General features: G+C 39.6%; 1 protein-coding gene across 9 annotated transcripts in view; it reads left to right on the top strand.

Annotated features, from left to right (window-relative positions):
- The window catches only part of CCDC25 (coiled-coil domain containing 25), a 39,325-nt gene that overhangs the window by 21,436 nt on the left and 3,660 nt on the right, over positions 1 to 14,229 (top strand). For 4 of the 9 annotated variants that reach the window (NM_001304532.2, NM_018246.3, XM_011544571.3 and 1 more), the window contains 3 exons: positions 2,607 to 2,710; positions 2,926 to 3,128; positions 10,688 to 10,733. In NM_001304532.2, coding sequence (NP_001291461.1) covers positions 2,607 to 2,710; positions 2,926 to 3,128; positions 10,688 to 10,733 — 353 coding nt within the window. The remainder of the gene's footprint in view (positions 1 to 2,606; positions 2,711 to 2,925; positions 3,129 to 10,687; positions 10,734 to 14,229) is intronic. The other 5 variants (NR_130762.2, NR_156432.2, NM_001304530.2 and 2 more) reach the window with 4 other exon arrangements.

Here is a 14,229-nt window from a genome sequence, read left to right as displayed (position 1 = left end):
GCAGACATGTCTTTGTTAAAAGAGCTTTGGAGGCCTTATTCTTGGCCCAGCTGCTTTCTTCTTAATCTCTTCATAGTTTACTAATTCTAGAGAAAACAAAGAGGAGCAAAGAGTCATGACACTGAATTACTGTTTCTCTCCTCTTCAGCCTTCTGCAACGATAGCTCAGCTAGCAAATAAGGACCTATGCCCAAGGGTCTTGCTCTTGTGAGTCAGTAGAAGATTATGTGCCGAGGAGTGGAGAAAATGGTCGTTGCTATGAGATTTCCAGAGGACACTCCACTTGTGGCACTTTGTAGGGACAAAGTTTTCCCCCGGTTTACCATCTGCAGTGCTCAGAACCAAGGGCTTTGGGGCTAAATTTGTTTGTCGCTATAGAATCAGCCTGTTCTGGGTCATAGGTCTAGAATCTTAGGTCAGCCTGTTCTGTGTTCACCCAGTGAATCTTTCCAGATTAAACTTTTAGAAGTTTAGAAACTGTCTTGACTCTCCTCGGCCTAAACTGTTCAGTCCGGACTTCTGAAACCAGCATTTAAGCGTCTCTCATTTGACTGCAGACTTCTTTCCCTTCACGTATTTCACACTACAGCCAAAGCCAATATTTGCTGTTTTCTGACCTTGCACCTGGCTTGTATTGTTCCCTCTGCCCTCAGGTTTGTCTTTGTCAGTCATCAGAGTCCAGATTCAAGCTAAGGTTCAAGGTCCACATAGTAGGTGTAGTGGTGGTAGTAATTGCTAACACTGATGGAGTGTTAATTACATGCCTGGCCCTGTGCTAAGTACTTCATAAATTATCCACCCCGTTGAGTTAGATATTATTTTCATTTTATAGAGGAGGAAACTGATCTTAAAGAGAATTAAGGAACTTGTTCAAGGTCTTAGAGGTCTAAAGTGCAGTAGAGACTGGATTTGATGTCAACCCATTTGGCTCAAGTGTTCTGCCGTAACCCCTGAGCTCTGTGAGCCTCCTCGATGAAGCCTTTTCCTTCTTCAGCTTTGAGTGGCCCCACTTTCTCTGTGCTGTCTTAGCAGTTTCCTGTAGCTTTCCAACAGCATTTGATCAGTTCTCCTTTTGATCCAAGTTATTGATGTGCTTACCCTGCTCCGTTAGAGTCGTGGAGAGCAAGATTCATTGTCTGGTCATGTTTGTGTCCCCCACAGTGCCTTGCACATGGAGATTTTCTAAAGAAATTTTATTTTGAAAAAACTTTCAGGTATACAGAAAAGTTGCAAGAATAGTACAGCTACCATATACCATTCACTTAGATTCATCAATTTTTAAATTTTTCCATATTTATTTGCTTTATATATTGCATACTCATTAACCTTTTTAGCTGAACCATCCAAAGCGAAATTGTAGATATCATGACCCTTGAACATGTCCTTCTGAAGAACATGGACGTTGTCTTAAATAACTGTATTACAGTGGTAAAATTCAGGAAGTTTAACATGGATAGAATACTGTGTTCTGATATACAGTCCATATTTAAGTTTTGCCACTTGTCCCGCTACTGTTTCTTTATAGCTTTTTTTTTTGGATCCAGGGCCATGTGCTGTATTTACTTGCGCTGTATTTACTTCTCTTTAGTCTCCTTTAATCCAGAGATACTGCTTTGTCTTTCAAAAAGTACAGACCAGTTGTAGTAATGGGATTACTAACCCACAGTTGGGGTTTGTCTGATGCTTCCTCTGGATTAGAATCCCATCATGCACTTTGGAGCAGGAATATTACATAAGTGAAGTTTTGCACATTATAGTCAGGCAGCACATGATGTCATTTTGTGCCATTTTTGGTGGTGTTAACCTTGACCCCTTGGGTAAAGTGGTCTTCCAGCTTTTTCCAGTGTACATGGGGATTTAATAAGCATTGAAATCCCTTGCCATCTAATTTGGAAGGACCAGAGAGAGTGTCAGACCAGTGATTAAACTGCGATTTCCAGAGCTGCCAGGGAGGGTATGAGTGGTGGAGGAGGCGGTGAAGGGGCAGGAGGAGGAGTGAACAGGGTACCTGGCACTCCTTCCATCCAGAGCGCCTCTGCTTTGATGACTTCTGTGTTTTCTTTGGTAAAAGGGTTCCACTGCTGAAGAAACTATAAGCAAAAACTCTATTAAACTAGTCCAATTTCCTCACATTTCATATGAAATTCAGAGGGCCAGGGGACTTCTCCAGAGAGGCTCGGCTAGCTCGTGGTAGTCCCGGATAGAGTCCAGGGCTTGTGAGTTCCAGGCCATGGCTTTCCGTTGCTGCTTAACCTTCAGAGTCAAGGACTTCTTTGAGAATCTGAGGAAACATATTCAGTCCTTTTCTCTTGAAAAAAAAACTCAATGATAAATTTTGCATCCAATTTTAGAGAGTCCTCAGAAGTCCCTGAAGCTAATCCATGGACTCCTACTTGCCATAGTAATACTTCCGTTTGAATTTTGTCAGCTTTACCATTTGCCTTTTGTGGGTGGCTTTTGAAAAAGTATTGGTGGTTTAAAACAAGGGGTGGCCTGTTCGTTCTAAGCCGTTTCCCTTGTTGGCTTATGGCAGTTTGCCAGTGGGTAAGGGAACACATTGCTCAGTCTCATCCTGCCTGCATGTTGAAGACAGTCTCTCTTGGCAGGCTGCAAGATGAACAACGTTAATGTGGTATATACGCCGTGGTCTAACCTGAAGAAAACAGCTGACATGGATGTGGGGCAGATAGGCTTTCACAGGCAGAAGGATGTAAGTGTTTTGTGCCACTGAAGGAGGCGGAGCCCTGATACTGAATGGAGTATCCTATCTTTTCTGTCTGACACCATTGTTGTTGAGGGCTGAGCATGATATATGTTTTCTAAAGGGAATTAAACTGGGTTGCTAAACCCCTGGAAAGCCTCATCCCTCTTCTGGGAGAAAAAAAACAAAAAGATGCAATATCTTTTCTCCTATCTCCCTTAAAGGTAAAAATTGTGACAGTGGAGAAGAAAGTAAATGAGATCCTGAACCGATTAGAAAAGACCAAAGTCGAGCGGTTCCCAGACCTAGCAGCAGAGAAAGAATGCAGAGATCGTGAAGAGAGGAATGAGAAAAAAGCCCAAATTCAGGAAATGAAAAAGAGAGAAAAAGAAGAAATGAAGAAGAAGAGGGAAATGGATGAACTTAGGTATGTCGGAGCTGTGGCATTGAGACTGACCTCAAAGATTATTCCCTGATGATTTTAATCATGTATTAGCCATTAAGAACGATATATTGGTGGAAGGAGGGACATGTAACAAGCTCAGCTTAAGCTCAACCTTAAATCAGTTTTTTAAAAAAAGGCATTTATATTAATGTGTTGGTTAAAAGAATTGCTTGTTTATGGCAGCAGGATATGAAAGTGGATGAAATAAAATAACTAATTTTATTCATAGAGAAACCTTCATAGGTTATCCCTAGTTTGGTTTGGTTTGTAAAGTTCTTCTGGAAAGGAAAAGGTGCTGTGGGAGGTATTTACTATTGACTAGCTGTGCTATTTAAGTAAAGTTGTGTTGGCTCTAAAAACCAATGCTAGTAACTCTCAAAGCTGTTTTTAAAACTCTTTTTTACATTTTGAAAGTTTAAAGTAATGTAGTGAGGTCTGCTTCAAAGCACTACATTTTTAAACAGCTAAATAGTTCAAATACAATTTGGCTCCTGAAATTCTAGTGAAGAAGGCCATGAGAATAATGATTATGTTAGTTTTCTATTGCCATTGAAACAAATTGCCACAAATGTAGTAGCTTAAAACAACACACATTTATTGTCTGTAGATTAGAAGTCCAGCAAGATTCTCACTGGGCTAAAATCAAAGTGTCTGGAGGCACTAGGGGAGAATCTTCCCTTTCAGCTTTGAGAGGCACCCCCATTTCTTGGCTTGTGGCTCCTTCTCCAAGCTTTCCATGGTCACAGCCCCCTGTCTGACCACTGCCTTTTCTGCTTTTAAGGAACAGTGTGATTAGATTGAGTTAATCCAGATAATTCACAATAATCTCTCCATTTTAAGGTCCTAACTAATGACATCTGCAAAGTCTACTTTGCCATAGAAGATAACATATTTATAGGTTCTACAGACTAGAATGTGGATGTTCTGCCATACAGTGCTGTACCCGCAGAGCCCCTAGTTGTTCTAATTAAAGGAAATTAATCCTGCGAATTCTCATCACAGAACTCCTAGATTTTTCCATGTTTGTTTATTTGCAATACATATGCCAAAAAGAAAAAAGAGTTACTTATAACATATATTGCCTTTGGAAATGGTGTAGAATCAGAAACATGTTGCTTAGGCATGTCCTAACCCAGTTTCCTTGGAATGCCCTGGATTCTTAGAAAGATTGTTGGGTCAGAATGTAGGTATAATGAACACGTACTGTTATTTATTATTCGCATGCACGTGTTTCTGGTTGGGGTTCTGCTAAAACAGGCTTCACTTAAAATACAGTGTTCAAATGGAGAGCTTCAGAAATGTTACCCTGAGTTACAATCTGCTAATATGAGGCCAACTAACATATATGTTTAAGTATTTGGTATGGCCTAGAATTCTGAGTCTGCTTTGTGTTTGAAGTGAAAGAAACGGTATTAACTCCATCAGTGAGGTAAAATTTGTGAAATTCTGAGTGATGCAGGATTTAGAGCAGTTAATTCTTTTTTGTTTTGAGTTTGGAGTGGGGGGAAACTGAAAATATGCCTTTTAGTGCCCTTTACGGATCGAACATAATTTTGTTTAGGAACATGATGGAACATATATTAGGAACATAAGATCACCTAATTTACTTACAACATTGAATAAGGAAGACTAGCTAACCCTTCTGAACATTTTCCATCTGCCAAACACTGCATTGCAAAGTGCTTTACTGCATTCTGTCATTTAATTCCAACAATAGCCATAGTAGATTTTTATCTGCATCTTATAGAAGAGGAAACTGAGCCTGAGAAGCAATCAAGAAACTTGTTATAAGCTCATTTGGCTAGTTAGTCTCAGTCTGATTCTCAAACCTACACATATTACTTACTATACTCTTCTTCCCTTTGTTCAATTTATTCCATTTTAAAGTAATTTTTATTCAATATAAATCAATCAAGTAATTTATAGATGTCATAATTCAAATTAAGCTGCATGCTACTAAAATTAAGGACATTAGTATGATTTTTATGAGTTTCAAAAATTACAAGCATTTAAACAAAATTTGTCCACCAAAACACAGTTTCGTATCTTCTGGGCTTTTTTCCATAGTGTCATCAACATATAAAATACTCCTATTAACTGAAGGGAAAACTCAATCTTATTGAATAAGATTTTTCCTTCAAAAGTTTAATCAGTCCCACTTTCTAAGTTGTCACTGGTCATTTGTATTTTTTAATAATCTCCATGGATCTCAGAAAACCAAAAACAATTGCTATGTTTATTTCCGTTAACCGTGTGCCACACAGACAACTTTCTGTCACATGCTGCAGAAGACAGAAGAACGTGGCACAGGGCTGCAGTGCCGGGAATGGAACGCGGTGACATTGCAAGTCTTTGCTTGGCACATCCAGAGCTGCCGTTTGCTGTGTTCTGCAGCATCTGTGAAATTCCAGCAATAGGCTCTAAGCTTCTGACTTGTTTTGTAATGTGTTTTTATACATTTTGCAGTGCTAGCATTCACTTTAATTTCTGTCTTTGAATCTTCCACCCAAGATATAGAAATCTGTGTCTATTACCTGTTTTAATTTTGCATTCTTTTATTTGGCTTTTTGTGTTACTGTACCAAACATTTATTACATCAAAATTAAGTCAACCCATGTAGATGTCGAAACCAGAAGAAATAAGCAATAGTCAGGGAAACGTCATAAAGAGGATGGGTGAATAACAGATGAGAGGTTGAGGCAGTCAAAACAAAGGGTAAGGACTATGACTACCTGAGAGAGGGATATTTAAAAGTTGAGATGCGGCCAGGCAAAGTGATTCATGCCTGTAATCCCAGCACTTTGGGAGGCTGAGGCAGAAGGATTGCTTGAGCCCAGGAGTTTGAGATCAGCCTGGGCAACAAAATTAGGACTGTCTCTACAAAAAATCAAATAACTAGCCAGGCGTGGGTGGTACAAGCCTATAGTCGCAGCTACTCTGGAGGCTGAGGTGGGAGGATTGCTTGAGCCCTGTTGGCTGAGGCTGCAGTGAGCTCACTGCATTCCATCCTGTGTGACAGAGCTAGATTCTGCCTCAAAAAATAAAAATAAAAAGCTGTGATAGAGACTGGGAGATCAGAATTGGAACCCAAAGCTCAGGTAATTGGAATGAGAGAAGTACAAGACCCAGGTGAAATGGTAAGTCAGTAAATATATCATCAATTTGAACATTGACATGAACTTGATTTTCATGCAAAGATTACTTCAGCATGGAGGATAATGTGGAAAGATTGTAGCCTGTAACTGACAAAGCAGGAATCCAAACTCAAGTCTAATCCTGAAGCCAATAGTCTATCGTGCTTCCTTTGAGGCAAGGAATGAACAAACTGGCAAGGCCAGAGTCAAGGTCACACATAGGCAAGTGAAAGAATGAAAAATTAGGTACATTGTAGAGTGACTTAAAAGGTTTAGTCCAGAATTTCATGTTGTAAGTGATAAAGAGCCTTTATAGGTTTTGTGGAATATTGGGGAATAGACTTACAGGATGAATGAAGTAACATGTAGGAGAGGAAATGGTGAGACCAGTAACTAATTAAATGGATGACAGTCTCATGAAGAACCAACTTCTTTGTACCTTTTTTTGTTTATCTTATACACACTGCCACTGCCTTCTACTGTAAATAATGCTGTGTGTGCTGTGCCTCTTCGTGTTACCTGTGAGGTCCTTCAGGGAAGCAATCGTGCATCCTTGCCTCCCCTTAGAGGTGACAGAGTGCTTTGTCTGTGCAGTGAGTGACTAGTCATACGTCATGAATATACTGAGATTAGCTTCCCTGGTATGGTGATTCCTTTTTTGTTTCAATTTTAAAGTAATTTTTATTCAATATAAACCAAGTAACTTATATATGTCATAATTCATATTAAGCTGCATGCTACTAAAATTTAGGGTGTTAGTATCATTTTATGAGTTTCAGAAATTACAAGCATTTAAACAAAACTTAAAAACTAAAACACAGTTTTTATATCTTCTGGGCTTTCTTCCTTAGGGTCCTCAACATATAAAATATTTGTATTAACTGAGGGGAAATAATTCCCAGTCTCATTGACTACAATTTTTGCTTCAAAAGTTTAATTAGTCCCCCTTTCTAAGCTGTCGCTAATCACTTGTATTTTTTAATAATCTCCATGGATTCAGAAAACTAAAAACAATTGGTATGTCTCTTTCTGCTAAACACATGCCAGACATATCCCAGGCTGAATTGCTGGGGTGCCATCATAGCCCACTGCAGCCTCCAATTCCTGGGCTCAAGCGATCCTCCCACCTCAGCCTCCTTAGTAGCTGGGACTACAGACTCACTCCACCATGCCCAGCTAATATCTTTATTTTTTGTAGAGATGGAGTCTTCCTATGTTGCCCAGGCTAATCTCAAACCCCTGAGCTCAAGTGATCCTCCTGCCTTGGCCTCCCAAAGTGCTGGGATTAAAGGCATAAGCCACCACACTTGTCCCCTGATATGGTGGTCTTGAAGCCAAGATCAAAACTCTGATAGCTAAAGAGTTGGAAGGAGTGCTGTAAGCAGAGGGAACTATGTATGCAAAGACCTTGTATGGGAGCAGCAAGGCAAAATGCAGGACTAAAGTCCCAAATGTCTGAAGCAGCAGAGGTCAATGGGCACTTGGATCAAGGGGCCAGTCCATGCAGGCCCTTGCTGGCCGTGTTTGTCTTCATCCTAAGAGCACTGTGAAGCCATCAAAAGGCTTTAAGCAAGGGTTGATACAATGAAGCTTGTGTGTTGAGAAGGTCACTTTGCTGACCTGATTGTAAAGGGAACCAGAGTGGGTGTGACTAGGTTAAGAGCATTCCACATCACAGATGGTAGCTTAGAATATGGTGGTGACTTGGGGTGGAGAGAAGTGGATTATTGTTTTTCTAGGTAAAACATTAGGATTTGGTGATAGTTTGGATTGAGGCAAAGGGCAGGGAAAAGGGGGCTAAGAATGACTCCTAGGTTGCTAGTTGGAAATGGAATGGATAGTGATGACATTCTTTGAGCTGGAGAACACTGGGAAAGAACTAAACTGGTTTGGTAGGGGGAAGACCATGAGTTGGATAGGGACTTAAGAATCTGAAAATACCCTTGAGATCTCCAAAAAGATGTCAGGGAGGTAGTTGGACTAATGGAAATTGAGCTCAGAGGAAACTAAAGAAAGGTAAATTTGTTTTTGTTTGTTTTTTTGTTTTGTTTTGTTTTTGAGACTGAGTCTCACTCTGTTGCCCAGGCTGGAGTGCAGTGGCACGATCTCGGCTCACTGCAACCTCCACCTCCCGGGTTCAAGCTATTCTCCTGCCTCAGTTTCCCAGGTAGCTGAAATTACAGGCATGCACAACCACGCCTGGCTAATTTTTGTATATTTTCAGTAAAGACAGGGTTTCACCATGTTGGCCAGGCTGGCCTCGAACTCCTGACCTCAAGTGATCCGCCTGCCTTGGCCTCCCAAAGTGCTGGGATTACAGGTGTGAGCTACCGTGCCCAGCCCAAGAAAGGTAAATTTGTGCATCATTGTCACATAGATGGGAATTTTGACCCAGTGATTCTTCAGCCTGGGTAGATCCCCACAACTGGGCATATGGATCCAGTTAAATCTTCACAAGTGATTTTCAGATGCAGTCAGGACTGACATTCTCTGTTCTCACCACTTTTGTTTCATCAACATGTCTTTCTCCTCCTGCTCATGCAACCTGTTGATCTTGTCTGTTTTTTGTTTGTTTGTTTTTGTTTTGTTTTAATTCCTTGTGGATACCACTTAACTCTTACAAGCTTACAAGTCTCTCCAGAGGGAAAGACTTACTGGTCTCTCCCTCTGGGTGTCTCCCAACTCATTATCTTTGACTGTGACATTTCTCCTTCCCACTGGTCTTCAGTTTTCAGTTTCTACAGTTCATATTTACTTGGGTATCTCACTATGACTTCAAATGCGGCATGTCTCAAACCAGGCACATCTTCTTTGCAACATTTTCCCATTTCTCCTATTTTTTTCAAATTGCCCAAGCTACAAACCTTGATGTCATTGTTGTTTCTTCTCTGTATTCCTTCTTACCATTACAGCTGTTAACTCCAGGGATTCATGCCCTCAAATTGGAGTATCGCAATAAGCTGTGGCCTGATAAGAGTATAAGCTTAGGAGTCTGACCTGGGTTCAAAACCTGGCATATCTTCTTATCTCTAAGACCTTGAACAACTTACTTAACCATCCTGACTCTGCTTTCTTATTTTGTACAATGGGCTTAAAATACTCTGGTAAATACTGTTATTGTGAATGGACCTTCTTGTCTTAACCACCTCTCTAATCTTGTTTGCTACAGATTATTCTTTTCAAAACATTGGTATTATGTAGTCTCACTTTCCTTTGTCTCTTGGTGTATTTGTTGTTGTTGTCGTTTGAGATGGAGTCTTGCTCTGTCGCCCATGTTGGAGTGCAGTGGTGCAATCTCAGCTCACTGCAACCTCCACCTCCTAGGTTCAAGTGATTCTCCTGCCTCAGCCTCCTGAGTAGCTGGGATTACAGGTGCACGCCACCACGCTTGCTAATTTTTGTATTTTTAGTAGAGATGGGGTTTCACCACATTGGTCAGGCTGCTCTCGAACCCCTGACTTTGTGATCTGCCCGCGTTGGCCTCCCACAGTGCTGGGATTACAGGCGTGAGCCACTGCCCCCAGCCGTGTATTTTTTAATAGTGCTTTTCACCATAGTTATTGATGAATAAGTCTTATTTCCCCTCCCAGTAAGTTCTGTGGGTCCAGGCTTTGTGTTAGTCATCATTTTCTGTTTTCTTCTCATCCGATCCTCTACCCAGGCTTAGCACAGGGTCTTATGCACATGGATATTTAATGAATGCCCATTGAACCTCATTATGGCTTTACTCAGTTGTGTATTATGGCTTCTTGCGGAACACATTGTGTTCAGTCGTGCAATCAAGACAACATAATTGGGCACCACATCCAGCCTGATTTCCCACTACTTTATTTGAGAACCTACCTGAGTTAGCTGGATATTCAGCAAGTCATTAAAGATACCATCTCTGTCTCTTTGCTCATCCCACTCTCTGGATCTGAAATGCCCCCTCACTCATCCTGCCCACTTGATTGGCTTGGTTTGGGTTCCGCCTTGTCTGTGAAGGGTGCCCTGACAGCTCCTGCCCACACTGATGTGTTTCCTCCTTTGAATTCCTGTAGCGTTTACAATCTGAGCTGTATACCTCAGCTGTGAATCTTATCAGATCTTGGCTGTAGGTGAATTTCCCCATCTGAAAAGTAGGAATAATGCCACCTGTCTCGCCAAGTTATTGTGGAGGTGGTGACATGAAACAAGTAGGAGAAAGCACTTTGTAAATTATAAAGTGCTGTGCACATCTTTTTTATTGTTTATAAATATTCATCCTTTGAATGTTGCAATCTCCTTGAGTGCAGAGATTATATCTAATAGCTCTTGTGTTTCTTCTAAAGCCCCTGAGCAGTGCTGGATACACAGGAAATGTTCATCAAATATTTGTTGACTGGATCACCATATTTTAAATGTGTGTGTGTGTTTTTTTCCTTCTAGGAGCTATTCATCACTAATGAAAGTTGAAAATATGTCTTCAAATCAGGTATGTTCAAGTGGTTTGCATGAATGTTTGCCTTGAAATAATTCACTAAGGGTTTTTAATAATTGTGTTACTGGCCATTATTGCCTTACATGTTGCAAATAGCTAACCATGATTTGGCAACCAGGACACCACTCAGGCTGGATTCTTTTAGGCACTGCACCTCCTTCCCTGTGGACTTTCTCATTTGTGTTGTTAAGTAGGTCATCTCAGGGAAAGAGATTGTCAGAGCTTGTCTACTGTGGCGTACAGGTCTATTCATTTTATATTTACAGGACTTTATTCTTTATTTCCCCTCTTTTCTGGTTGCAGGCATGCAAAAGTGCCTTTATTTATTAGTGTTCTTTATCACTGTGACTGTAGAGTCCATATTATAATTGAATGAGAACAAAATTATCACCTTCAATTAAAATAACTTACCCTAAGATCTTATGTGACTCAGTGAAGCCTAAGTGACAAAATTGTTTGTTTTCATGTTCCTTAGGACCTGGGATAGAAACAGATGGTGACCTATGACATAGTACTGAAAGGATCTTCTTAACATTGCGTCTAATTATTTGATTGGAACTATGTCAGAGAATTATTGTCCTTGAGGGCTGTCTTTCCCAAAATTTATCTTGAAGTGTCTAGAGATAGCACAATTTAGCTGCTATTGAGCAGTCTGCAGAAAATGGAAACTGGGTGGATGTATTTGGGATTTTGCATGTTTTATAGTATAGTTTAAAAATATAGTCATCCTTCAGTATTCATGGGGGATTGGTTCCAGGACTCCCCGAAGCTACCAAAATCCTAGGATGCTTGAGTCCCTTGTGTAAAATGGAGTAGTATTTGCATATAACATATGCACATCCTTCCATATACTTTATCTCTAGATTACTTATAATACCTAATTAGTGTAAATGCTATGTAAATAGTTGTTATACTGTATTTTTTTAATTTATATTATTTTTATTGTATTTTTTTAATTGTTTTTTTCCTCTAAATATTTTTGAGCTGAGGTTGGTTGAATTCACAGATAAAGAAATCAAGGGCCAACTGTAACAGAATTTAAGATCCCTTACAAGTCATCTAGTCAAACCTCAGATTTAGTGCATGAATTAGAAGTAATAGGATTTTACATCTTGTTTATATCTACATATTCTTCTAAAAATTTGTAAGAACAACATTCTTATTCCCATCTCTATGAAGAACTAAATGTACGAGGCTCCTTTATGAATCAGAGATGTTTCTTTATAATTTATTCCTGAAAAATTCCAGAATAGCATTATTAAATTAAATAGAGCTTTGAATTTGAAGTTTAGAGACTTAACTGTCATGTGCTAATTGAGGTGGGGGGGATTAAACATCCCTTGGGCAAGGGAACGTTGTCACAGTGGTTGGGTTAGATCCTAATAAAGTCATTTAACCTCTCTGAGGGAGTATTCATCATCAGTAAAATGGACACATATTATTTCACAGGGCTGCTTAGAATTGAAGCAAAGACACATCGATGTGAAAGTCTTCCTTGACCTACTTTGTAAATAGTCATACCTTATCCAGATAGTCTTTGGTTGCTGTTTTTCCAGAATATCATTATGAAAAGATGAGATGTGTTTAATCCTTTCTGGAAGCTAATTTTAGATTTCTTGAAACTATTGGAACAGTTTAACACTAAACAGTAGTCTTCAACATACCACAACTCAGATGCCATTGTTGTGGTTATTTTGCTTATTGAAGTTTTCTGTGTTTTAGAGGCACTTTCCACCAGAAATCTAGCCCCCATATTATTTCATGACCTTAGTCATTTTATTCTCATCATTTTGGATTTTTAAAGCTTGTATATAATTCTAGAGTTGAGAAATAAACAAATACACACACACACACACACACACACCTACCTACCGACCTACATACATACATATACAAACACCATCTGATCAGTGACAGATGTTAAAAGTCCCGAGACTAGGAAATTGAATTTGTAGCCCAAAAGATTGCTAATCTTTCTACCCTAACTCTCCCTCTGTTGCTTGCAACCCCTGTTCCTGAGCTCCAAGTATGAATCAAGTTCAAGATTCCAAGGAAGTTTTGCACTGGGTGTTTTTATTCTCTCTTTCAGTGAAAATGTTTTCCTAGTTTTTCTCCATACTTTAAAAGAATAGACTAATTCTCCTTGTAACCGTCTTCTGTTAAGGGATACAGATGTTTGTGTTTTGTTTTGTTTTGTTTTGTTTCCATAAGTTATTGGGGTACAGATGGTATTTGGCTACATGAGTAAGTTCTTTAGAGGTAATTTGTGAGATTTTGGTGCATCCGTCACCCAAGCAGTAAACACTGCACCATATTTGTAGTCTTTTATCCCTCACCCCCCTCCCACTCTTCCCCCTAAGTCCCCAAAGTCCATCGTATCATTCTTACGCCTTTGCATCCTCATAGCTTAGCTCCCACATATCAGTGATAACATACAATGTTTGGTTTTCCATTCCTGAGTTACTTCACTTAGAATAATAGTCTCCAGTCTCATCCAGGTCACTGCAAATGCTGTTAATATATTCCTTTTTATAGCTGCATAGTATTCCTTTGTGTGTGTGTGTGTGTGTGTGTGTGTGTGAGTGTGTGTATACACACACCACAGTTTCTTTATCCACTCGTTGATTGATGGGCATTTGGGTTTGTTCCACAATTTTGCAATTGTGAATTGTGCCACTGTAAACATGTGTGTGCAAGTATCTTTTTTGAATAATGACTTCTTTTCCTCTGGGTAGATACCCAGTAGTGGGATTGCTGGATCAAATGGTAGTTCTACTTCAGTTCTTTAAGAAATCTCCTTGCTGTTTTCCATAGTGGCTGTACTAGTTTACATTCCCACCAGCAGTGAAGAAGTGTAAGTGATACAGATGTTTTATGATCCAATTTAGAACGTGATCAGTTGATTTTTAAGTTAAAGGCAAGTGTTTATGTAATATAGGACTTAAGTTTTAATTTAGCATATACAGGTTCATCAAGAAGAATAATTACTGTAATTCCAAAACATAGCCCCAGACAAGTGGGGACTCTGCACATCTAACTCACAGCCTTTATAGGGAATGGCTTACTTTCGTTGATGACAACCCAGACTGTCTTACTGAGTTGTTCATCCTCAGTGTTTGGGATCTAAAGCTGGCATTTGAAGATACTAAATGACTCTTTCAAACATTGCTACTGCTTTTATTTCAGATTAAGACTCTGGGGCAATCATAGTCTTTGCGCCTGGATATAACACAATCATTAGTCTGTTCTTTGTACAATTATCGAAGGCATTTTTACCTTGGCTTCAGTTCATCGTGCTAATGGAAGAGAACCACAGAGAAAACCACTAAGTGAAGTTGGAGCTAAAACCAGACTTCACAGGAACCAATGTTTTCTACCCATATCGTATTTCTCTACCATCTTTAATAAGGGCCATTTAGATAAGCCTTAGTCTGATCCCTTTCTCTAACAATGCTGGTGTTAAGCAATGGGAAAGAGAAAAAAGATAAAA

The sequence above is a fragment of the Homo sapiens genome, chromosome 8, assembly GCF_000001405.40.
Source record: "Homo sapiens chromosome 8, GRCh38.p14 Primary Assembly".
In the NCBI taxonomy this organism is placed as follows: domain Eukaryota; kingdom Metazoa; phylum Chordata; class Mammalia; order Primates; family Hominidae; genus Homo; species Homo sapiens.
This window is presented reverse-complemented; position numbering and strand designations above follow the sequence as displayed.